Raw genomic sequence first — 23,946 nt, forward strand, 5'->3', positions numbered from 1 at the left:
GGAAATAGATCATGCAATAGAGAGAAGCACTAATCTACAGTCATGTGCACAGAGATCAAGTCAAAATATTCAAAATTTAACAAAAAATGAAATGTCACCCAAATGCTCTAAAATAACATGTGCATGAATAAAAATAAAAATCCACAGTCCAGGATGTAAAACCCATGTGAAAAGTGTATCCTATGAGCCAAATTCTCCGAATAAACTGGCGCCCCCTTGAAGAGAAGGAGCACCTCCCCACCTGGGATGGAGGTGCAAATGCTGGCAGTGATTTCAGTGGAAACTCTGCACACACAGAGAGGCCTATGTGTCTTTATTTTACACCTGCTGAATGCAAAGAGCAAGGCTCTGAGGCTTAGGAGAAGCAGTCGTCCCTTCAAATCTTGCACAGTCAGGGTCTAGGGTGCTCAAGGTCTTGAACATGATTGCCTTTTGCCTGTGGCAGGGTCAGGAAAACACCCATTTCTCATCTCTCTGTCTAGCCTTTCTTGGCTCAGTCTCTGTCTGGTCTCCAGTTATTTACTTAGTGTTAGACTTTTCTGTATTTATAATTCCCAGCATGGAGAATAGAGCTTTTTGGAGAAAAGATGTTATTTAAATTATTTTACTCATTTAGGTTAAAAAATATCACACAAGGCTGTACTTGCAGCTCCTTAGAATATAGTTATATATAAACAAAAATGAGAACTGGTATTTAGAATCACGAGTTTACATTTAGGAACAGAGGGAAGATGTGTTGTCAATAAATTAAAATGGAAACTATTCTGTGTAAGAAGAAATTATATCTGAGGTACATTTGTATTAAAGATGACAAAGACAAGTAAGAGATAAGAGACGAAATCTTGATATGACTAAGAAGATACAGATACTTGTCCATGTGCCAAAAGAGGTAATATCTATGAAACGATTCAAAAGAATAAAGACTTTTTAAGATAAAAGGGAATCTTTTGGAATGGTACAAATGAGATATACTTTCTACTGCTTACATACAATATGTACATTTAGAAAAAGGTAAATTCAAATATTTAAGGATGAAGCAAAATAAAATATTTTTTAAATGAAGATCAAGGCTTAGATGAATTTTATCAGCCCAGCGAACCTAATAATATCCAGAAATAAAAATAATTCTTTTGAAGAAAGAAATAGAAACTATTACTATTAACAAAATTGTTCTTTTACTATTCTACATGGTTTACTTTCTGGCTCACATTTTTAAGAAGTTTCTTACCTGGGCTGACTGTTCACCTTTTCATGTTTTCCATTGAAGTTCAAACTACAGAGGCTTTTTGATTTTGAATGTGAAGAGTCTGATTCCAAATTTGCCTGTGTTTGTTCTCTCAAACGATCGTGAAGTGTTGCCTCCTTTTTCAAGTTCATGTCTGAATACGGGCAGCCAAAAGCACTGGTTTGTATAAAAATGAGAGCACAGTCATCAGTATACAGTGATAAATCAGGGATCCATTGTCATTAGAGCAGACTTACACCTAATATTTAAAAATTGCATAGAAACATTCTTCTTTCCCTGAGCACACTCAAATAATAGTTTCTTTTCATATTGCCTTTTGAGAAAATCTCAGGTTCTAGAACCACAGACACTGGTCAACAAAGAATTATAGATAGATTCATCAACACATACGGCATTTATAATTTTAGAAACTTAAAAATCTAAGAATAGCATACAGATGTACTTCCAATGGAACAATGCAAATGTCACATAACACTTAACTCAGTTTGTATCCTCAATATGCATTCCCTGGTTTGACTGTATCAGAAAAGACTATGGGTAACTAAGCATATTTACTGGTATCAGAGAATATTGCGTTTTCATTTCTTAATATTCATGTATGCAGAAACACTCTATCTGCAGATCTGCTTAATCCTCCAGAGCTTTGCTGGGAAGTTTTGGGCTGGGGTGTGAAAGGATACATTGTAGGTGAGAGAGGAGAGGCCCAAGCCCAGGTCTGCTGAGTCTATTATCTCCCCTCACAAGTCAAAGCTGAGTCCTGAGTCCTGGATGTTATCAGAACCCAATAGCAGGCTATGGGCAGAAGGATCTGCCAGGGCCAATGACCTGGTTCCTTCTGCAGGCTGATGGGCTGTCTCCATTAGATCCCTGTGCCCACGTCCCTGTCTCCAAAGAGGCCCCAAAACTCTGCCGCTGCTAGAAATGAGGTTGCTATACCAGGGAAGACACACCCAAGACAGGTCACTTGTACATTACCCTGGGGAAGGTACTTCCTGCCAGAGCTTCAGAGATTCTCCCCAGTGAAATGAGCAAAGGAGATCCAACTCATAAGGGTTAGTGTGACCCTAAGAATTCACAAACACATGCCACACACAAACACACACACATCATGAAATGGTAGCTGTTATTGCCATCATAGTGTTATCACCGGCTACACCTAGAGGAGCACGTGGCCAAATACATCAATATCGAGGCAGTTGATTCTTTTCTGAGCATTCACTTCCTACTCACTATGAATTTGCTGATACATAGTACAAAGTAAATCCATTCTGAATACATGAAAGCTTTCTTTTATTTTAAGGTCATGATAAAATTGTGGACTAGAACAGATTTCTGGTCCACAATTTTATCATGAGTCCAGCGAACATAATAAAAATAAACTGGATCTTCTGGAGAAGGCCATATGCATTCTAACCCCAAAAGGACTTTAGTACCAATATCTAGAATGGACTCTGGAACTGGGGACAGGATGGCTAAGATGATATCAGCCTGGCCCAGCATGATCTATACCTGTATCAGCAACCTTTGCTACAGAGAGAAGGGCGCCTTTACATGCATGTTCTGTAATTTGTAATAATCAGTATTGATCTATTGGTTTATTAATCTATTCAGGTATTGATTCAACAATCCATAAGCATCTGCTACATGCTAGGTACTATAGAGAATATAAATTCAGTGAAGACGTTAAGACATACGTACCAAAAAGTACAATTTATAATAAGAATTAAAAAGCTACCCCTATTGAATGTATGCTATAGGCCCACTATTATACAGGGTGTTTTACATGTATTATTTCTAATGAATATATATTTTTGACTGAATACCCAAAGGTATTAGCGTATTTATTTTACTGGTAAGACAACAGGCTCACACAGTGTAAGCAACTTTACCAAGGCCTTGTGGCACTTTCTTGGGAAGTCCCAAAACAAATCACTTAACTATTGGCACTAATCAGGCTGAAGAAGGGGAACATGGTTTTTTTTTTTTTTTTTTTGAGATGGAGTCTCGCTCCGTCGCCCAGGCTGGAGTGCAGTGGTGCGATGATCTCGGCTCACTGCAAGCTCCGCCTCCCGGGTTCACGCCATTCTCCTGCCTCAGCCTCCCAAGTAGCTGGGACTACAGGTGCCCACAACCACACCCGGCTAATTTTTTGTATTTTTAGTAGAGACGGGGTTTCAACGTGTTAGCCAGGACGGTCTCGATCTCCTGACCTCATGATCCGCCCACCTCGGCCTCCCGAAGTGCTGGGATTACAAGCGTGAGCCACCGCACCCGGCCGGGGACATGGTTTTTAACACCATCAAAAAAAGAAAATATGAAGGAAACCATAGCACAGTCCTTGTGCAGAGAGACCCAGAGGCAAGTATTTACAGGCTAATGCAGGCTTGGTTTGTCCTGGTTGCTGGTGGGGAAGAGCAGGCCAGCATACGCTTGAGTCCTGGGATGAAGCACTATTCCCAACAGCAGCAGAGCAAGAGCGATCTGGTTAAGCTGCACCGTATGGGATTTAAGGAAAATTTCAGAAAGAACTTTCTGTAGGCAAAAGTTGGAAGGCATTAGGCTAACTTAAGAGAGACTGAGAAATATCTTTTTCAAAGACAGCCGAGTTTTCATTAAGATACTATGACTCAGAAGTTTTGCTATCCATCTAGCACACACTCCCAATTTGAGTTTTTTAAATGATCATTATAACCATGAATTTTTTTTTTTGTAATTTCGTGTCACTACCCCTATGTGGTTCATGCTACATGGCACTAATGCTGCCTCTTCCTAAGGCTTACTTATCTGTCCAGCATCTGTAGACAGCTACCACAGACCCCTCCACAGTGAGCTGTTATAGTCATCAGTATTTGCTGATGTCGAGAGATGTTCTGTTTCCCTCAGTCTTCATTCATGAATCAGTCTCTCTGGTCATTCAATCATTCACCTATTTCTAATTTCCTCCTAGTTCCTTTTTTGTCTCTCTGGTAGTAAGGAAGGCAAAATCAAATGGAACCCCAGAGCATTGCTAGAATGGAACAATTCCTGATTCTATGAGGCAAATCATGTGACTTATCTGCACCATTTTGAACCTTAGAATCTGGGTTCTGAGAATCTACTGTGACCAAGTTGCAACACTGTGCTCACTTGGTTCTTTGCAGAGAAATAGCTACATTAAGGAGATGGCATCCCCAACTTTTGCCTGCCTTCTTGCACACTCAGACTCTTACTGGTGCTTATGTGCATGCACGTACGCATGCATGTGTGTGTGTGTTTAAGAGATGCATGATTCTGTATAAATCTATTCACATTGAAAAAAAGAAGACTGAAGTGGACAGGCTAGGTATGATAAAACCACTTTTGAAAGCTTTGGATTTAGCCAAATATTGGGGAAGTACTGTTCTGACATAGTCTCTTCAGAAAGTATTTGAGCTAAGCTGAAGTTTCTATGACTTAAAGTTCTGTTGGTCAAAGTAAACTGTCAGTGTCTGATTGGTAGGGAGTAATATATTCAAATTCCAGTTGGTTGATTATGCATGGAGACAAGCAAGCTTAGAAACTGCAGGCTGAGAGGGGAGTGCTGAGCCACAGTGTCTCTGCTGGAGTCCTGGCTCTTTTGATTCAGAAGAGCATTTCTCCATTCCTCCTTAATTCACAGAAGAATCTGTCATTTGCAGGAAAGGAAGAGACAGCAGCAGCTATTAGCTTGACCCACACAAAATTGCAGTTTTTAAATGTCAAAGACAGTTGAGTATCAGAAATTTTGCATGGTTCTACCAAATAATTTACCAAAAATGTCAGCCCCAACCTCATCAACAGTGAAGCAGTTGAAGAGAGGATATACGCTAAATAAACAAAAAGTTGCCAGACCATTGCAGACAAAGTTTTAAAAGAAAAATGTTTTGACAGATACAAGTAGTCCTCTTTCTTTATAATGGAAGGAAACAGAGTGATTACAATTTAAAAGAATATGGAAGCATAATTTTTAATATCTGATGACAAATGAAAAAGTAAATTTTATTCATTCTAAGAGCAGCATTCCTGAACATGTTTCTGTCTCTGAGTTTTAATGACGTTAGGGTTTGCAAAGCAGCAACACTGAGCCCCTGAGGCTGGACCCCTGCATTTTGGGTGTGGTCCAGGAGGCTCCTCAGACTGAATCTTCTCTCCTTCTTTCCACGGCAGGGGTACCTGATTCCACCAGTTGGGACAGTTTCCCTGTATTCCCAGGACTTATCCTGATGTGAGGTCACAGGTAATCCATTAAGCTCAGTCCTCCATCTTAAAGTCCAGCAGTTCCAGCTGAAGCAGTGCCCCGGTCTGATGTCTGTGCAAATGCCATGCTCAGAAGCCCTAGTCAGCCTTGTGGGCTCCGGTTCCTCTAACTCAGCATCCACTTTGATCCCTGTTTCTAAATGTCTTGCCCTCTGCTTTGACTAGACTCAGGTGCCTTCCTGGTATGGACACCCTAAGTTCCTACTTTGTTTTTGCCATCCCCTTCCCATGACACGACTTCTGCCTCTTACTCTTAAACCTAGGATGTGAGGCTCCACTTCCCAGATGCCACCTGGCCAGTCTTCTATGTGCTTCTCACCCCGAATTATTCCCTGCCAGGTGCTGTGCCCGCCAATTGGGATCCCTCCCTTCCTCTTGAACTCTTCCTATGTGGCTCTGATTCCAAGAGTCTAGATGGTGATTACTGTTGCCAAACCCCTTGGATACCAGATTCTGCTCCTCAGCTATACTCTCCTCTTGCATCAACAATGTTTCATTTTCTCCTACCCAGGCAGGAGACTTGATTCCCACTTCTCTCTGAGAGCCCTGTTCTGCTAAAAGGGTGGGTGGTGCTCTGTGACATCCTGGAGGTGGACAGTTCACAGCAGGAGGTTATAACCAAGTTGTCACGACTTACCTAAGGGTAGCTTCCCAGCCTGTGTGCGGCTACACCCTCAGGTGACCAGGGGGCCCTGGGGCACCAGAGTCCCAGACCAGTCCTTCCAGCCTCCAGCAACCTCTAGGCTCTAAGCCCCCTCTTGTTCCCAAACGCCAATGGTCATTTTTTCTCTGTGACGTGACATTTAAAAAGTTGGGAAGCATGACAAATTTAAGCAAAATGGCAAAGATGTAATAGCCTCTTGAGTGCTGCAGTTCAAAACATAAATAAATAACCCAGAAGTCAGCAGTATTTCGGGAAGAGTGTCAAGTTGTTGACAACCTTTCTTGTGATCCTGAAAAGTAAAGTCGCCCAAAATAGGCAAGTATCTCCCAAGAGGGGCTCAGATGTGGAAACGTGGCTTCCTATAGCCCAGGAATTAGACACACAGACTGTAAAGGGTTCTCTAAATGCAACTAACTCACCCCTCATGAAGCCTAGAGTATTTTATAGTTTAGTCTCAATTATTTTGCTAACCAATTATATTATTTTCCTTCAAGAGGCAGATAAGACAAGACTGAAGAGTCCTCTCTTAACTGAGAGGTCAGATTCTAACAGGTACTGTGTCTGGGTGGGCCGGGGGCATCTCCATGTGGAAGCCTTTATGAAGGAGTAGGTAGGAGGCCTCCCAGAACCAAAGGACAGGAGGAAGCATGAATAGTCATACCTATCAGATAAGGAGAGAGGGCACTGAGACTTGGCAGAGAAAGGGGCTCAGCGATGGAAATGAGAAGGAAGAGGTATATGCTGCCTGCCTCACCATGTGGCCTCAGGTCCTGATGGCAGCAGCAGGCAGCTCTTTCGGAGGATTCTGGGAAGCTGCACGCAGCATGACCACCTCCCGCCCCGGGAAAGCAATGCCTTCCCCACACGCTGTTTCCCTCCCTGCCCTTTCACTTCATAAAAATAACCCGCCCCATTTCAGAACTGTATTGTCTTTAGTATGCAGTAGTCTACTCTCACACAGTATAAGGATGTTAAGTGAATATCTTTTATTCTTAGAAAATACTGATTGGCCAAATGGCACCAAAAGACATAATAAATACCAAAATGCAGATTATTGAAGTTATTGAACAGTGATAGTACTTTTCATCTGACTGAAATTGTTGCTAATTTTACCTCTATGAAGAGTAACAGCAAGTACAGATAATACATGTTGGGATATGGACTGGGAAGTAAGAGCCATCATGAGTTTTTAACATCTGCTGAGGATGTGACATGATTTTTATTACATTGTCCTCAAACACAGACATAGGCAAAACCTAAATTTTTATATATCTATAGATAGATAGATAATGTAAATATATATATATATATATATATGGAGAGAGAGAGAGGAGATTTTCAGGTCTCAAGGTCAATTTTCTTCAAATTCCTGTGGCTGTAAAATCAGTTCACCTAAGATATTTTTCTCTTATTGCAACTAACTTTTGTCCATAAAATAGCTGACACTGTCACTTAATTGTCACTTTATGTACTCAAAAATTTAGTACACACAGAGTAAGAAAAAAGTATAAATGCTTTTTAAAGTTTCATAAGAGTCAAAATAAATCTATATATCTATATCTATCTACCTAACTATCTATCTATGACTCAATGAGTTCAAAGAGTTGGATGAAATGCATTTGATTCTAAAAATACATTTCCCTGGGTTAACACAGCTTGTGAAATCCTGGATATTATAATCTTCTGTATGTGGCCACTTAGGAAGCTGGAAGATAATTACTACCTAAATTAAGCATTGTAATCCGTTTAGTATAGTGGTGAAAAGTGTGGAGTTGAGAATTAGAGAAAATTGGAAGAAAGCTACTCGCTCTATAACCTTGGGCAAGTCATTCAACTCCTCTGTTTTTCATTTCCTCATCTATAACATGGTGATAATAATATCTTACAGGGTTTTTTTGTGAAAACTAAATGAGATAATCCATGCAAGGCCTCACATAGTGACCAGCACAAATTAAATGCTCATAAGTTTTTAATTTTAAAAAGGCCTATTCTGATACAAAATACTAATTATCCCATTTATTGTGGTTATTGTATTTTTCAATTCTAAAATTTCCATTTGGTTCTTCTTTTATTTTCCATTTCTTTGGTAAGACTTTCTATTCTGTCATTTGTTTCATATTTATTAAAATTGCTTGTTGAATCATCTTTATAAGAGCTGCTTTAATTCTTGTGAGATGATTCTCACATCTGTGTCATCTGTTCATGGCCTTTTCTCACTCAAGTTGAAATTTTCCTGGTTCTTGGTATAATGAGTGATTTGGGGTTGACACCTGGACATTTTGGGGATTATATTGTGGGACTCTAGCTCCTATTCAACTTTCTGATTGGCAGGCCTCCTTTCACACTGCTTCAGTAGGGGAAGGGGGGCACTTCCTCGTAGTTGCCATGTGGAGGTAAACATCCTCCCTAGGCACCCCTGGATGCCACCCTGGCTGAGAGGACACAGATCCATGTGGCTTCCATTGGCACCAGGTGGGGAGTGGGGGAGCAGTGGCCCTGTTAATGTTGGGCTGCAGGGAAAGTCCTGACTCCACTGGCCTCCTGCGACACCACCCTAGCAGAGCTGGGAGGGGACACTGCACTACCACTGGATGAGGGCGTAGGCCCAGGCTCCCCATGTGATCTCCACTGATGCTGGGGGCAGGCTGTAACCACCCAGCATGGATGAAAGCCCCATTTCCCACTCAGCCTTTGCCTTTCATTGGGGGAGATGAGTTGGGGCCCCTTGTTCCGGATCCACACTCAGTCTTCTGTGGGGATGAAGGTGTTTCCTGGGGTGTTTGGTCAGAGAAAGGTGGTTATTGTCTAAAGTTTCCATCTTGCTACACTGCCCCTTTGCTGGTCCTTTAACTAGAGAGATAAGCCTCTTCTCGGGGCTATTTTTGCCTGTTCCATTGGCTTTTCCAGGTTTTCCGCTTCTCCAACAACCAGTCCAGGATATATGAGGAGAAAGAAAACACAGGGATCTCACTACTGTGCTGTTCCCTGGGTCTCCAGGTCCCCAGCTGGTCTGCGTCCTTCTCTCCACCTTTCAAAGTCTTCCTCTGTTTGCTTGATGTATAATGTCCAGGTTTGCGTGGGAGGAATAGAGAAAAATATGTCTATTCCCCTTTTCTGGAAGCAGAGGTCCCCTAATGATCCTTTTAATGTTAAGGATTTTATTGGAGACTCCTCCTAAACAAGCACCCTCTCCCTACTTCTCTTTCTAAATGAAGAACTTGTTCTACTTAACTAAAGCACCCACGAAGGACTGTGGTAACAAAAGAGGCTTTCAGTACAGGCCAGACTGAGTTTCAATCCTGCTTCTAAGCCCAATCCTTACCCTCTCCAGCTCACAGTTTCCTCTGCTGCAACCTGCAGACTCGAATCCACTCATGTGTCAGTCTAAGAGGTGCTCTGAATGGAGAGGACTAAGTACATTTCATGGCATATGTGCATTCAATAAATGCGATTTCTCTCCAACTCTAATTTATCTTTCTATAATTCATGTTCCTGTTGATTACAGGTATTCAATTTTCACATTGCAGAAGCATTCCAGAAGAAGGAGCCATTATTTCTTTCTTCCTTTCCTTCCACTTGTTATAAATATGTGCCCTTAGACCGAAGTCGAAATTCTTTTGCATGGCATTGAAAGACCCCTTCCATCTGACCCCAGGCCACCTTTTCAAGACATTCCCATCTTCACTCCCTATAAAACCTAAGCTCTGGTCACATCAAAATAATCACTGCCCTCCAGTTTTAACGCACACCTCCCAACTTTTATTATAGTTTCCTCATTATAGTATTGTTTGTATATATCCATCTTCTCTACTATAACTAAATTTCTTAAAATCAGAGGCTGTAATTGTTTATCAGCTTGAACTGAGTAAAATTGGGCTATTTCATGCTTCAGCAGCTCAGCAGCACATCAGTGTCTAAAGAAATACCAGTCATGTATCTGGTATATGGCAAGTTATCTATTTATTGATGTCACTCAAATTGATGCCAAGCAAGATTTTAAGCTTAGACATCTAGCGAAAAGCTTTCCCATATCTCAATCAGTGCAGAACTTGTTCTCAGTCTCTCATCTCACTCCCTTAATCAGTGTCTCCAAACTCAGGCCATGTTTGTTCCTCTCTTTCCAGTCCCCCTATTTAGCCATCCCAGGTCAACTTCTTCCTCTGAGGAGCTACCTTTGTCCTTCTAGAAAGATTAATCAAGCCTTTCTCACATTCTGACTCCTGTATCCATTTTCTAGAAGAAACAACAAAAGCCCAACTGCAAAACTGGAGAACTATCCCCATCCTGGAGCACATTTATCTTCTATCACAATTTAGCCCACTGGGCTCCTGGTATGGTTGTGAAAATATTCACAAATTTGAAAGTGTAAAGACTAGAGCACATGGCAAGAAGATGAACTCTGCAGCTGGTGCACACAGAAATAGATGAACATGAAGGGCAACCTCCACTGGAGCTATGAGCTTAATCATTTCATTAATGTCTGCTCAAGTACCAAAAAGTCAAACCCAAGATGTGATATTTAATTGGTATGCATTAAGAGATACCCTTTAATTGGGCTGGCACATTATCTATGCTGTTTGTTATAGGTAATAGTTTCAGCAAACTAGACAGGAAGGAAAAAATGCATTAAGAGTGAAGGTGAAAGAGAGAGCGAGAGTGTGTGTGTGTATACTACCCTTCCTCTAGAATATCTTAGTGTATGATTACTAGAAACTTCCAAGGTATAAAGTACACTCAAGGAATGTAATAGCGTGCTATGTAGCAACACTAATGGCCTTTACAAAATTTATGCTGAAACCAGTTTAATGTACTGTAAGTAATTTGTCTAATTTATGCATGGAGAAGATCTGATGAATAGAATCTGCAGTTTAAAATTTTTTACCAAAACTCTAACTACACAGTTAACATTAAGCACTAAATTAAACAAATGAAGTTATTAAAATGCTACATTACTAACTCAATTGAAACAATTATAGTGATAAGTTTGTGTCTGTTATTAAAATGAACTTTTTTCTTAGTATATACAAATTGTTTTCACCTTTTTAATTGTAACATTTTGGTTAAGTGGTATGAACATGTCAAGATTAGTTTTAATTGAAATATTCTAGTTTTAAAAATATTTTCTGCAAAAACCTTTACAGTATGTTTTTCCTCTTTTTTAAAAAAATGCATTGTTTTTAAACAAAATGTCACAGGAGTGAAAGCATTTATCTTGGAAGTTGTTCAAAGGACACCTGGAAAATAACTCAAAATGCCTTCAAGCACAATTTCAAAAATTATTCATGAATTAAAAGTATGCATTTTGGCAATGAATCATAATTCCATCTTTTGGAAGGCCCTAAGTTCAATATACTGAATTTAAATGAAATTGTTAACAGTTTCCTGAATATGCATGAGAATATGTTTACATAGGTATATATTTATGTATACCCGCAAGCATCTAACCTGTGTGTTAAACATTAATATTGAACCAATGCCAACAGCACCCTGAAATGTTTTGAAAGTTCTTTCTCAAAGTGATAAATTCACAGTTATCTTGACAAACCTATGCACTGAGATTAGAAGTGCAGTCTGTGTGGCAGAAAAAGAAAAGCCAGACTAGCCCATCTTTCAACTGCCTGGGCCGAGTGTTCCCAAACACTAACAGCTACAAGAAGATTTGCAGAGGTCCTGCTGCCCTCCCCACAACAAGCCATGCTCTGCGGAGTCCTGTGGGGCACTGCAAAAGCATGCATTTCGGATCTCAATTCAAAAGGTGGCCCAGCTCCTCCTTGGGTCAGAGTTAAAACAAGAGATAACAAGTATTGGTGAGGATGTGAAAAAACTGGAACCCTTCTGGTGAGGATGTAAAATAATTCAGCCTCTTTAGAAAACAGTATAGAGGTTCCTAAAAAAATTAAAAATTACATATGATCCAGCAATCCCACTTCTGGATATTTATCCAAAAGAACTGAAATGAGCACGTCAAAGAGATATTTGTACACCTGCATTCATTGCAGAATTATTCATAATAGACAAGAGGTGGAAAGAATCTAAATGGCCATTGATGCACAAAAGGATAAAGAAGATATGGTATATACATACAATGGTATATTATTAAGCCTTAATAAAAAGGGAATCCTGCCACATGTGACAACATAGTTGAACCATGAGGACTTTATGCTAAATAAAATAAGCCAGTCACTGAAGAACAAATACTGCATGGTTCCACATATATGAGGTATCTTATGTAGATAAAGACTTAAGAAGCAGAAAGTAGAATGGTGGTTGCCAGAGGCTGCAGGGAGGGAAAATGGGGAGTTGCTGTTCAACAGGTATAAAGTTTTAGTTACCCAGATGATTAAGTTCTAGAGATCTGCTGTATAACATTGTGCCTATAGTAAGCAATACTGTATTTGTACATTAAAATATTGTTACGAAGATAGATCTCATATTGTTTTTACCACAATTGAGAAAAAGAAAAAGTTGACCTTTTATCATTCCATAGTCTTCAGATAAACACTGATTTGTAGATTCATATATGTATAGATATATTCCATATTAAAGAAGTTGGTTGCCAATTATATTCTTTCCAAATTAATTAACACATCGAAGGCAAATGTATTTTGTAATTTAGAGTTTGTAAAGCAATATTGTCCTTGATAGAAATAAGAACCCAAATTAGAAATCTTCATGAAATCTTAAAGGGAGCTCTTTAAAAACAGCTGTTTTAAAAAGACAAAACGACCCTGAGATATTAAAAGATTGGGGGCATTAATATAATTGGTGATAAGGATGAACGTCTATTTCTTTCAAGAGAATATGATCAATATTACTTTTTCTGCCATACACTATTCTAAATTATTATTCAAATAATTGGTTTTTCAAGTATATGTTGTTGAGAACACCACCAATTTTTTTTTTTTTTTTTTTTTTTTTGAGACAGAATCTCGCTCTGTCTCCCAGGCTAGAGTGCAGTGGCATGATCTCAGCTCACGGCAACCTCCGCCTCCAGGGTTCAAGCGATTCTTCTGCCTCAGCCTCCCAAGTAGCAGGATTACAGGCACATGCCACCATGCCTGGCTAATTTTTGAATTTTTAGTAGAGATGGGGTTTCACCATGTTGGCCAGGCTGGTCTCGAACTCCTGATCTCAGGTGATTCTCCTGCCTCGATCTCCCGAAGTGCTGGGATTACAGGCTTGAGCCACTGCACCCAGCCAATATTTTATAAAAGACTATCAGTCTAGGCAGGGCGCAGTGGCTCACGCCTGTAATCTCAGCACTTTGGGAGGCCAAGGCAGGCAGATCTCCTGAGGTCAGGAGTTTGAGAACAGCCTGGCCAACATGATGAAACCCCGTCTCTACTAAAAATACAAAAAATTAGCCAGGAGTGATGGCGGGTGCCTGTAATCCCAGCTACTCTGGAGGCTAAGCCTGGAGAATCACTTGAACCTGGGAGGTGGAAGTTGCAGTGAGCTAATATAGTGCCATTGCACTCCAGCATGGGCAACAAGAGTGAAACTCTGTCTCAAAAAAAAAAAAAAAAATGAAAAAAGACTCTCAGTCTAACCTAAAATATATGAATAGATATTTTCATTTCTATTAAATTTAGGTAGTAAAATTATAGAAAAATCAAAGAAAGATACCATCAAAACACAACTTGATTAGTCTAATATTAAGAGCAACAACAGGTCATAGTGCCATAGTTTTTACTATACATGATACCCTGAATTAAGTTTCCTTTATATATTAGCTCATGCAATTCTCAAAATACCCCTGTGAAGTAGGGACTGTTATTATCTGCATTTTATGGATGAAGGAACTGGGGTACAGAGGTTAAAGAAGTCATTGTAGGCCAAACAGCTAAGAAGTTATACAGATAGGACTGAATCCCCAGGCAGCTTGATGCCAGGGTCTAGTCTTTTAACTACTCTGCCAAACTGCTTCTGGGGCTAGATTTTTCTCTGAAGACATTACAGAAAATAAAAATTATGAAACACCTGGCACAATGCCTTGTACATACTAGGTACTTTGCCAAATGGATACTGATGATATTAACATATTTATATAACACCCTTGGTATTGGTGGTTGTATATGGAGAAGAATGAGTAGGGAACATAGAATACTTTGAGGGAATTTGAGCTGTTTAGTGTTTTTAAAATTTCATTCCCGAATGTACTGAGTTGCTGCAAGAATAAAACATGGTGAAAAAGGAATTCTTTAGAACAAAGGCACATTCTCTGCATGGGATGAACTGTAATGTGGAGAACTGGCCATCTGGATAATTTCTTATGGGGACAAGCTGTAATTTATAAAACCCTGAGAAAAGAGAAGAAAATAGAGAAGAGAGAGCCTTGACTTTCTGCCAGAAAAAGGCTTTAAAGCTCTATCCTAGCAAGTTTTAAATGGAAATTTAAATATTTCATACCCACATATACACATACTAAAGCTGCACCTACCCAGTCAAATACAACATTTTACCTTACACAGCTTTACAAGCATCCAAATAGTATCCTATTTTGGTTAAAGTCAGGATTAGGAAGCAAAAGCCTCTGCCATTTAAATCCATCCACAAATCTCTGTAGAATGTCCCTGTATGCACAGCCCTGGACTAGGGATGTGGTGCCCCAAATATGGCAAGGGTCCCACCTCAAGGGGCTTTGACCTGGGGACTACAAAAAATGTGAATTACAAACCTGAAAGGCAAATGTAGGCAAATATTGCTGTTTATTATAATTATGTATATGTTTAAAAATGATATATCATAACAATAGGCATATATACTTATTAAGCATTTAATATAAAACCAGGCATTAGAATAGTGCTTATGATTTCATTAATAGTGCACATTATTTCATTAAATAAATATAATATAAAGAAGTTAAGTTTTCATAAAATTGCTCCTGTTGCCGCCCTTGTTGTTTCCTAGTTTGCTGCAGAGGAGGCAGAGGCAGGTTCTTGAAATAGGACTAGCCTCAATCAGTTCAAGAGAGGAGACAGAGCCAATGGGCTGAGGGGTGGGCCTGGGAAGGACCCTTCCTTGTGATGGGGACCAGAGGACAATGTCTGGCTAGGAGCTCAACTGATCACAGATTCAGTTGGCTCTCGAATTGGGAAAGTGTCTAGACAACGGTCTGGAAGATCATCCTCACTGCGCGGGCTGTGAGGAGCAGCCTGAGGGATGGGGACAGGACCTGGACAGCATGCAGGCGGTCTGGGTAAGTGGCTGCAACAGAAGGAGTTGTTGGATCTGAACACACTCTACAAAAATAGTGGTACTTGGAAGCTTAATAAATTTGGGAGTTGTTAAAGAAAACAATGGAATGGAAACTCATGAGTGTGATGATAAAGATGGGAGGGCAGAGATGCTGATGTGGAGCTAAGATAATAAACGTTGTTACTAACATTTTAAGTGACAGGACTGCCATATAATTCTGGATTCATTCTGCAGGTGAGCAGAGGTAGAAAACTCGGACATGAAGATGACTTTTGGGGCACCACCAGCAGATGCCTGTGGCTGAAGCAGAAGATAGATGCATTCTCAAAGTTTCAGCCTGCTCACAGATTGGCCACTGCACATTTCGTGTATCTATTTAATATTGCCTGGAAATCTCCAAAGGTTTTACCGAACACCACTTGTTTACTTTGTACCTTGTTTACTTTGCCCAAGTGACAAGTGAGAAACAGGATTAACCACTTGAGCTCCCCCAAAAATCGCGTGCCATGCCAACAGGAAGGAGCTGGTCTGAAGAGGCTTCCTCCCCCATCTACGTCACTTGCAACACACTCCTGGAGTGGGGTTCTCATCTAATTTGAGCAAGGAGACTCTCAGCCCTTGCTACACTAACTAAAACAGGAGTGTCACGCATGGTCCCTGGTCTCCAACTGCAGTCCAGGTTGTGGATAGTTAATGACAGCCATAAATGGTCGAGCACATATGCCTTAGTCTAAAGATACTTTCAGACATGAACAACATCACTGCAGCCAGGGGAAGACTCCAGGAGGATGTGGGACTTGTGCCTGGCACTGAGGGGAAATAATATTCAAAACAGCAGAAAAAGTTTTCTTTTGTCTTTAAATTCGTCAATTTAAAAAACTGTCTATAAAAAAACAGTTACAATAGAAATTTTCCAGTTGCATGTGTTGTTGGCAAATCTGTGTGGATAAGCTGGTATATTAAGCTCTCTAGATGTGTTAGTTATACAATCTATGAAGACTGGAACTAGGTCCAATTTGCAATAATATATATTATTCAGGACCATGAACTGCTCTCATCATGATTTTATAGAATGGGATTTCACAGCTAGAGTCACTGACTAGGAGTCCATCCATTAAAAAAAAATTAATTGAAACAGTCAATCTCAGGGCATTTCTAGAGCTCAGAAGCACTAGCTCAATGCCTGTCCCATTTCTCCTCCTCTGGGCCTTCTGAGGGCCCCCTCTTTTGCTTTTTGGGGTACATGTGGCTCTCCACATCCTCAGATTCAACCAACCACAGATAAAAAATCTTTGAAAAAGAAACTCAAACAATTAAAAATAACACAAAAAAACAAATATAGTATAACAACTATTTACTTAGCATTTACTTTATAGTAGGTATTACAAGGAATCTAGAGATGATTTAAAGTGTACAGAAGAATATGTATATGTTATAGGCAAATACTACACCACTTTATATAAGGGACTGAGCATCTTCAAATATTGGTATTCTCCAGGGTCCTGGAACCAATGTCCTATGGGTACCAAGGAATGGCTGAATTGAGACTTTCAAGGGACTATGAGTCTATGCAGATGTGTACTTTTAGAGGGAGTTTAAGGTAGGGATGGTCTGGAGGAAGAAAACTAGTGAAGGTACATCAGGATTTCTTTTTGGTTTTATAACATGCAGTCTCTTTCTCAATAGATCACATGATCTTTTCTCTGAAAAATGGCCAATATCTTTTAGATCAATAGTGGACCAATTTTTAACCATGAATTTAGATCAAGACTGGACCACTTTTTAAGAAACGTTTTTCTGTTTCCTTCTGATTTTATTTTTTTATACCATGTGCGCAGGCATTATGTGTGTGCATGTATGTAGACAGATTTAGTCATTGTCATAACCATTGTTATGAGGCTTGCATTTCTCGTTTCTAGGATAATCAACTCCAAGTTCCTGGGCACCAGTGACAGCCCTGTGGGTGACACAGTAGCTGTCCAGGACGTCCCTGCCCCTTTGCTGGCCTGAGCACCCCTCTAATAGGCTACATGCTCTTCTTGGAGGCCCTTTCTGAATGATTCATTAATACCATTCCAGAGCCTGTTTGGGGTCAAAATCCTTGTGAGAATCTGCTGAACATTGTGGAGCCCCTGGCTAAACAAATGCCCACGTGCAAACCTACACAAAACCAGCAGATCTGTCAGTGAGCTCACAGCCCCCTTGGAAGCTGCCCGTGCACCCCAGAAGATGCCAGGAGGCCAGGGAGAGTCTCAACATGCAGAGGATCCCTAACAACTATGGGTCCCCGATCCTCTCTTTATTTAAAAATGAGAGAGATTTTCATTACTTCTTCAAACTTTCATTTGGTCTTTTTCTAATATTTCCTTTTTCCCTTAAATAAAAGAGAAGTGGAAGGTCAGTGCACCCTCCAGGCACTGAGTCATCTGTCAGCCCACGTGCACTGGGGCTGATAGACTCTGGATCTGGACCAGGGCAGGCCGAGGTGGACTCGCACACGGGGTGAAGGAGGAGTGGATGGCATCAGTCTGTAGAGCCAAGGACGTGCCTTAACACAGTTATTTACTAATGGCCCACAGATATGATTTAAAACAACTTTGTGGTGAAGTATAATAACTCAGTCTACATACTCCCTCCCAGGCTGGGAGTGTCTCTGCTTCTAACGGGAAACTCTAATGCCATTTACATCTCAGACCCCTATTGAGTTTCAAAATTTAATCCACTGGTAGTAGAGTGAAAATATGTTGCACTTACCATTATTTTGGAAATGTCATCTGTACATTTATGAGAGTCAGTTTTTACACACACATACACATACCTGGTCTGCTTTTGTATCTCTCTCTCTCGTGTGTGGTGTCTGTATGCGTGTGTGCGTGCATGTCAGTGGACACATGTATGTGTGGGGGCTGCATGTGTGTGTGCATGTGAATATGTGTGTGTATCCACATGTATACATGTGTATGTGGGGGGTTGTATGTGTGGCATGGGTGGGTGGGTGTGTACATGTGGTTGTACACGTGTGCGGGGTGTGTGGCTGTGTGCACATGGGTGTACATGTATATGTGTGGTGTGTGTATGTGGGTGTACATGTGTACGTGGGGGGTTGTATGTGTGGCATGGGGGGGTGGGTGTGTACATGTGGGTGCACATGTGTATGTGTGTGGTGTGTTTGCAGGTGGTTGTACATGTGTATTGTGCAGGATGTGAGTGTGTGCATGTGGGTGTACACATGTATGTGTGGTTTCTGTATGCATCAGAGAGGACATGGTCAATGACAGCTATACATGAGCATCACTTGTCTGCCTACAGTTACTATTTTGTAGAGTAATAAAAGAACAAGGGTAAGAGAGGAGGAAAGTGCTGGATAGACGCATTCTCATTTTCTAATTTTCTGTGTGTTCGTGGAATTTTGTTCATGCCCATTTCCAGCTGGTCTCAGACCTGTGTATAAATGGTTCCTTTCCTCCTTATACCCCTTTGTTCCCCTTCCTCCCACCCCCCAGGTCCTATCTCTCCTCTGCCCTCCTTTTCTTCCTTAGCAATGAACAATGCCTAGACCAAGAGTTGCATTCACCATTTGCAAGGAAAAGAAAGAACCTAAGAAGAGAAGCAAGCAGGAAGAGAAGGATCAGAAAAAGAGAATAAGATGGAGCCGGAGAGGTGAGAAAGAGAAATGAGATAAATAGTGCTGCAAAGGAGTGAAAATGAAAGGAAGATGCAAATGGATAAGGGTTTTCTTTGGGGCTGATGAGAGTGTTCTAAAATCGTGGTGATGGTTGTACAACTCTGTGAATTCATTAAAAACCATTGAATGGGTGTAAATAACCACTTTAAATGAGTGAACTGCATTATATTTGAATTATAATGTAATAAAGTTGTTATTTTAATAAAAGTGACTTAGGATTTTTTAAAACAATTATTATTATTTTTTAAGCACACTAGTCCCTGGGCCAACTTTATGCAGAGCAATGCTGCTCTGCTAAGAGCCCCACTTCAGCCCATGATATCACTTGCATATTGAGGTTCCATGGCACATGGCCTTTCCTTGTCACTAGAGATGGAGAATCCAAGAGGAAGCTGAAAATGCGAAAGGGAGAGACAGAAGAGAAGAAACAGCCCGCTGCAAAGGGTGTCTGCTCAGTCTCTCCAGCGTGTGAACGACTGAGCATCTGCCCTTCTCTTCTGAGTGCTGGAACACATTTTATTTATTTATAATTGACAAAATTATATAGATGTATATACATATATATATATTTACTGTGCACAGTATGATGTCTTCAAATATGGATACATTGGAGAATGATTCAATCTAGCTAATTAACATATGTATTACCTCTCATACTTATTTTTTATGGTGATAACAATTAAAATCTACTCTCTTAGCAATTTTCAAGAATACAACACATTGTTATTAACTAGAGTCGACATGTTGTGCAATATATCTCCTTGACTTATTCTTGTAACTGAAATTTTGTGCCAACATCTCCGTAACCCCACCCAGTCCCTGGTAATCACCTTTCTACCCTCTGCTTCTATGAGTTCAGCGTTTTTAGATCCCATAAAGTGAGCTCATTCAGTATTTATCTTTGCTAAATAAATTTTATTAGGTGAAAACAATTAACTAGTAGAGATGCCCACTTGCTTAACAAGGCTAAACAACTTCCTGACTACTGCAAACGCACACACACACGCACACACATCAATGTGAACTGAACTAATGACCTCAAGTCACTGTCAAGACAGTCCTGTTCTGTCTCTAAAATTATAGACTTTTAAACCTATTTTTAAAAGGAATTGATCCTAACATTACATTCTTTGACAACCGAGGATCGCATCTTTTCTCCATAGTTAGTCTACCTTCCAGTGAAATCTCTCCCTTTGCTGCACTGGCACGTCACACTGACTGACTGGGAAAGCGGATAAGCATGTCTTTAGGTATTAAAATTGAGTGCATCACAACTATAGCCTGTAAGGAAGGCACAAAGATGCTGTGCATGTTCTCTGGCTGCACAGAGGCCTCTTCCAGCTTACTCCCTGTGTCTCAGCTTTGCTCTACATACACAAATCTGCAAATAACTAATCTCTGGATAAGCGCAGGATGTCCCTATTTTAAAATCTCTGCTCCGTATTCAGATTCTGAACCTGAAATTGAGAATACCCAATTTTTGTCTGAATCTCCAGCAATACTTAAAATACAATAAAAGTATAAGTTACATTTAAAATATGGCAGGTATATACTACTCATTATTTGGAAGTTTAAAGAATATAGTGTTTAGGATGTCATAGTTATATTTATAAAAAAAGAAATTGGCTTTTGGAGAGGAAGTCTCTTCTCAATTTCTCAATGGGATTCAAATTTAAATTAATGAAAGGTAATCTTTAAGATGCATGATTGATACAATAGCTTCCTTTCAGTTCTTAGTACATTTAGAATTAATCAAATTATATAGCTAATTAGGGGGAGAAATTGCCTCTATAGTGTCCGGGAATGCACATGGTAAGTGATGAATTTTTTCATTAGTGTTAATGAGCTGTGCCTGGTTAACTCCCCGGCACATCGCAGAACAGAGCCCATATCATCTGTCTTCCATATTTAATCCAATTTGTTTGTATACTGCATCTTTCACTCAGTGTTTCCCAAAAAGCAATTTCAGGGATGATAACATTATAAGAAAATATGAAACTGGATATATTGATAACAAAAACAAAGAAGATGGACTGGAGTCTTGGGAAAAACAAAGATTAGTCTTCATGTTTTGTAGGCAACTAACTCATATCTGATTAGTATTAAAGACTAACACATTCATTCATGGAAACGGGAATTGTATCTTCTGTTTTTAGAAACTGTGATATAGAGGATAACAAAGACTGTAAAAGAAGGCTTATTCAAAATAGTTTGAAAATGCTACATTATATAACAAACCTGATAAAGCTCTGTAAACTGTGACAGTGTATTAATTGGAGGCAAGTGTGGGCAAAAAAAAAAAAAAAAAAAGCAAATAAAAAACAAAAAGTAGCAACTTGTATTAATATAACACTTCACTTCCAAAATGCTGAAAGATTACATAGAATGATGTGACAGTGGCTCCTGTAGGCTCCTTTGAACCCTCTAAGTGTTTATTTTGCTTTATTTGGTAAAAATGGAAAAAGTTTTCTGAAACATATTTACCAATTCACTTGATTCAAGATCACTAACCTGCTACCTTCCTCTACTCCACTCCTAGGGTGCTTTTCTTTTCACATCCTACTAATAATGAACAACTCAAAGATAACTTGAGTTCATGGCTATACTTACTTTTTCAAACACTGGATATTGAACGCCCAGTAACACCAATAATGAAACAAGGTGTTTTAAGTTGTTCCAATGTACACTTGCACAATGTTTGGAATTGTCCTGCATCTGGAATACAATGTCATCACTGATGTTTGTCCACAGTCTACCTACTTGGAGATTAAGACCTAATCCAAATGAAATCCTTCCCTCTCGTCCTTCCTCCTTTTGCTTTCTTCCAATATTAATTGAGCACCTACTTGATGCCAAGAACTGTTGTAGGCATTGGAGATACTGTGGTGAGCTACACACAAACACACACAGACACACACACAGACATCTACATAAAATAAGATTAACATGTAAACATACAGATTCAGATGACAGTGAGTAAAGCAGGGAGCAGCATGCCCATGCTCCTGTGTGTGCCAATGGCCTCACTGAAGGAACTTGAAGGAGATAAGAGCAGGGCTGGGCCTCCCCTCTGCTAATAAACAGCCCTTCCCTGCCACCTTCTTATTTAATGCAGTTGGCTGACTCCACTAATATGCCACAGTGACCATCACTTCCTCTAGGAAGCTTCCTGTCACGACTCCACTTGAAATTTATCTCTCCCTCTTTAGTACTAAAACCCTGGGTATCTTTTTCTGTGCTTCTTTTAAAATACTCATAATTTGTTCTTTTGTATTAAGTTATCTGTATTCATATATTTTGTATACTTTCAACATTATTATACAAGCTCCTTGATAGTATGTATACTCCCTTTATCATTTCTTGTAGATTCTGTCATAGTGCCTTGGACACAGCAATATTTCAACCAATGTTTCCAGAATAAATAATCAGTCAAGAATATCAATGAAGCAAAATTGCATTTCCAGAATTGCATCACTCCTTGCTCAATATCTGCCATTTGATTTATCTGAAACCTTTTTTCCATTATTTGCTTCTTAATATTAGGATTCTCAAATCTATTTTTCAAAAAAGCTTACAAAAGCTATCTTATTGGTTTCCATCCACTGGTGTGCCAGGCACTCTGTGAGGATGCAGGACCCAGTGATGGTCACTACATACTGCTGCCTTCAGTGCTGAGGGAGGATGAGTCAAAGGATACCTGCAACGGTGGTGCAGGTTCACTTAGGGGTGGAGACACAGTGCTTTGGGAGACACAGAGGAGGTCACACAGCGGAGAGGAGAACACAGCGGAAGGGCAGCCATGGAAACCTGGTAAGTGATGTGTACATTGTATTATAATGGTTGGGGGTTCACCAAGTGAAGTGTCGGTGAGATTGGGACAGTGACAGGCTCTTCAGCAGCCAGAGAAGCAAGCTCATTTTGAAGGAGATGGCGTGTAGCACATTCCAGAGCTTGAGTGCAGCTACAGTGTTGATGGGCCTTATAAGCTGTTTGAATGGTTTTTGAGAAATGGGCAGCCATTGGGAGGTGCTTAAAGCAGAGTGGTGGGACAGTGAGATTCACATTTGGGAATGATTGGTCTGACTGCAGTGAGGAAAACAACCTGGTGGCCCAGTAAGGAGGGTGCTGAGTGATTCAGTAGAATGGGCATGAACTAAAGCACAGGTGAATATGGCGATGAAGAGGCAAATCTGGAAGAATTTAGTCATAATCAGAATCTATTGACAAGACTGGATGATTCACCATCGGGGTAAGAGAGGGAATGGGTTAATAATGACATCTCACTTTACAGGTTTCATAACTGGACACATGATTCTACCCATCCCACCCATTTGGGTGGAGGGAATGAGGTCAGCTTTGAATATGAGAAGCCAGCAACTACCTACAAGGCGATGCTCATTGGACAGTTGAATATATGGGTCTCTGTTCAAGGGAGCCTGTGCCAGAGGTGTCTATCAGAAGCCGAGCACATTTAAATGTGTCTGAAGCCGTGGTCAAAATGAAACCATGGGAAGACTCAAGGAGGGTTTACAGAGTAAGCATGGCATGAAGTAATCTTCATCCTTCATGTGCATTAGAATCACTCAGAGGACTTCAGAGTAAGCATGGCCACGAAGTCGTCTTCAGACCTGTGTACATCAGAGCCACCCAGAGAATTTTAAAGCAACCTCAGTATCTGGGCTCCACCTCAAGTCAATACAGATGCCCTGGGAGGTGGGGCCCAGGCCTCTGTTTGCTCGGCGCAGTCCTTGTGATCCATGCACAGCCAGTGTGAGGAATTTCTGCATGGGTTGGGCAGAGAGGAGGACCAGAAAGAACCCTGAGCAACAGCATCTTGGGAGTGGGTCAAGTGGGACAAGGCAGACTAAGGAGCAAGAGAGAACAACAAGAGAAGGCAAG

General features: G+C 40.3%; 1 protein-coding gene across 27 annotated transcripts in view; it reads right to left on the reverse strand.

Moving 5' to 3' along the window:
- The window catches only part of L3MBTL4 (L3MBTL histone methyl-lysine binding protein 4), a 460,543-nt gene that overhangs the window by 137,410 nt on the left and 299,187 nt on the right, over positions 1-23,946 (reverse strand). For all 27 annotated transcript variants that reach the window (NR_158610.2, NR_158609.2, NR_158611.2 and 24 more), the window contains one exon: positions 1,229-1,402. Coding sequence is in view for 24 of the 27 variants with exons in the window: in NM_001365765.2 (NP_001352694.1) it covers positions 1,229-1,402 (174 nt within the window). In the remaining 3 variants the exon portion in view is untranslated. The remainder of the gene's footprint in view (positions 1-1,228; positions 1,403-23,946) is intronic.

Source organism: Homo sapiens, chromosome 18 (assembly GCF_000001405.40).
Source record: "Homo sapiens chromosome 18, GRCh38.p14 Primary Assembly".
NCBI classification, from domain to species: Eukaryota; Metazoa; Chordata; class Mammalia; order Primates; family Hominidae; genus Homo; species Homo sapiens.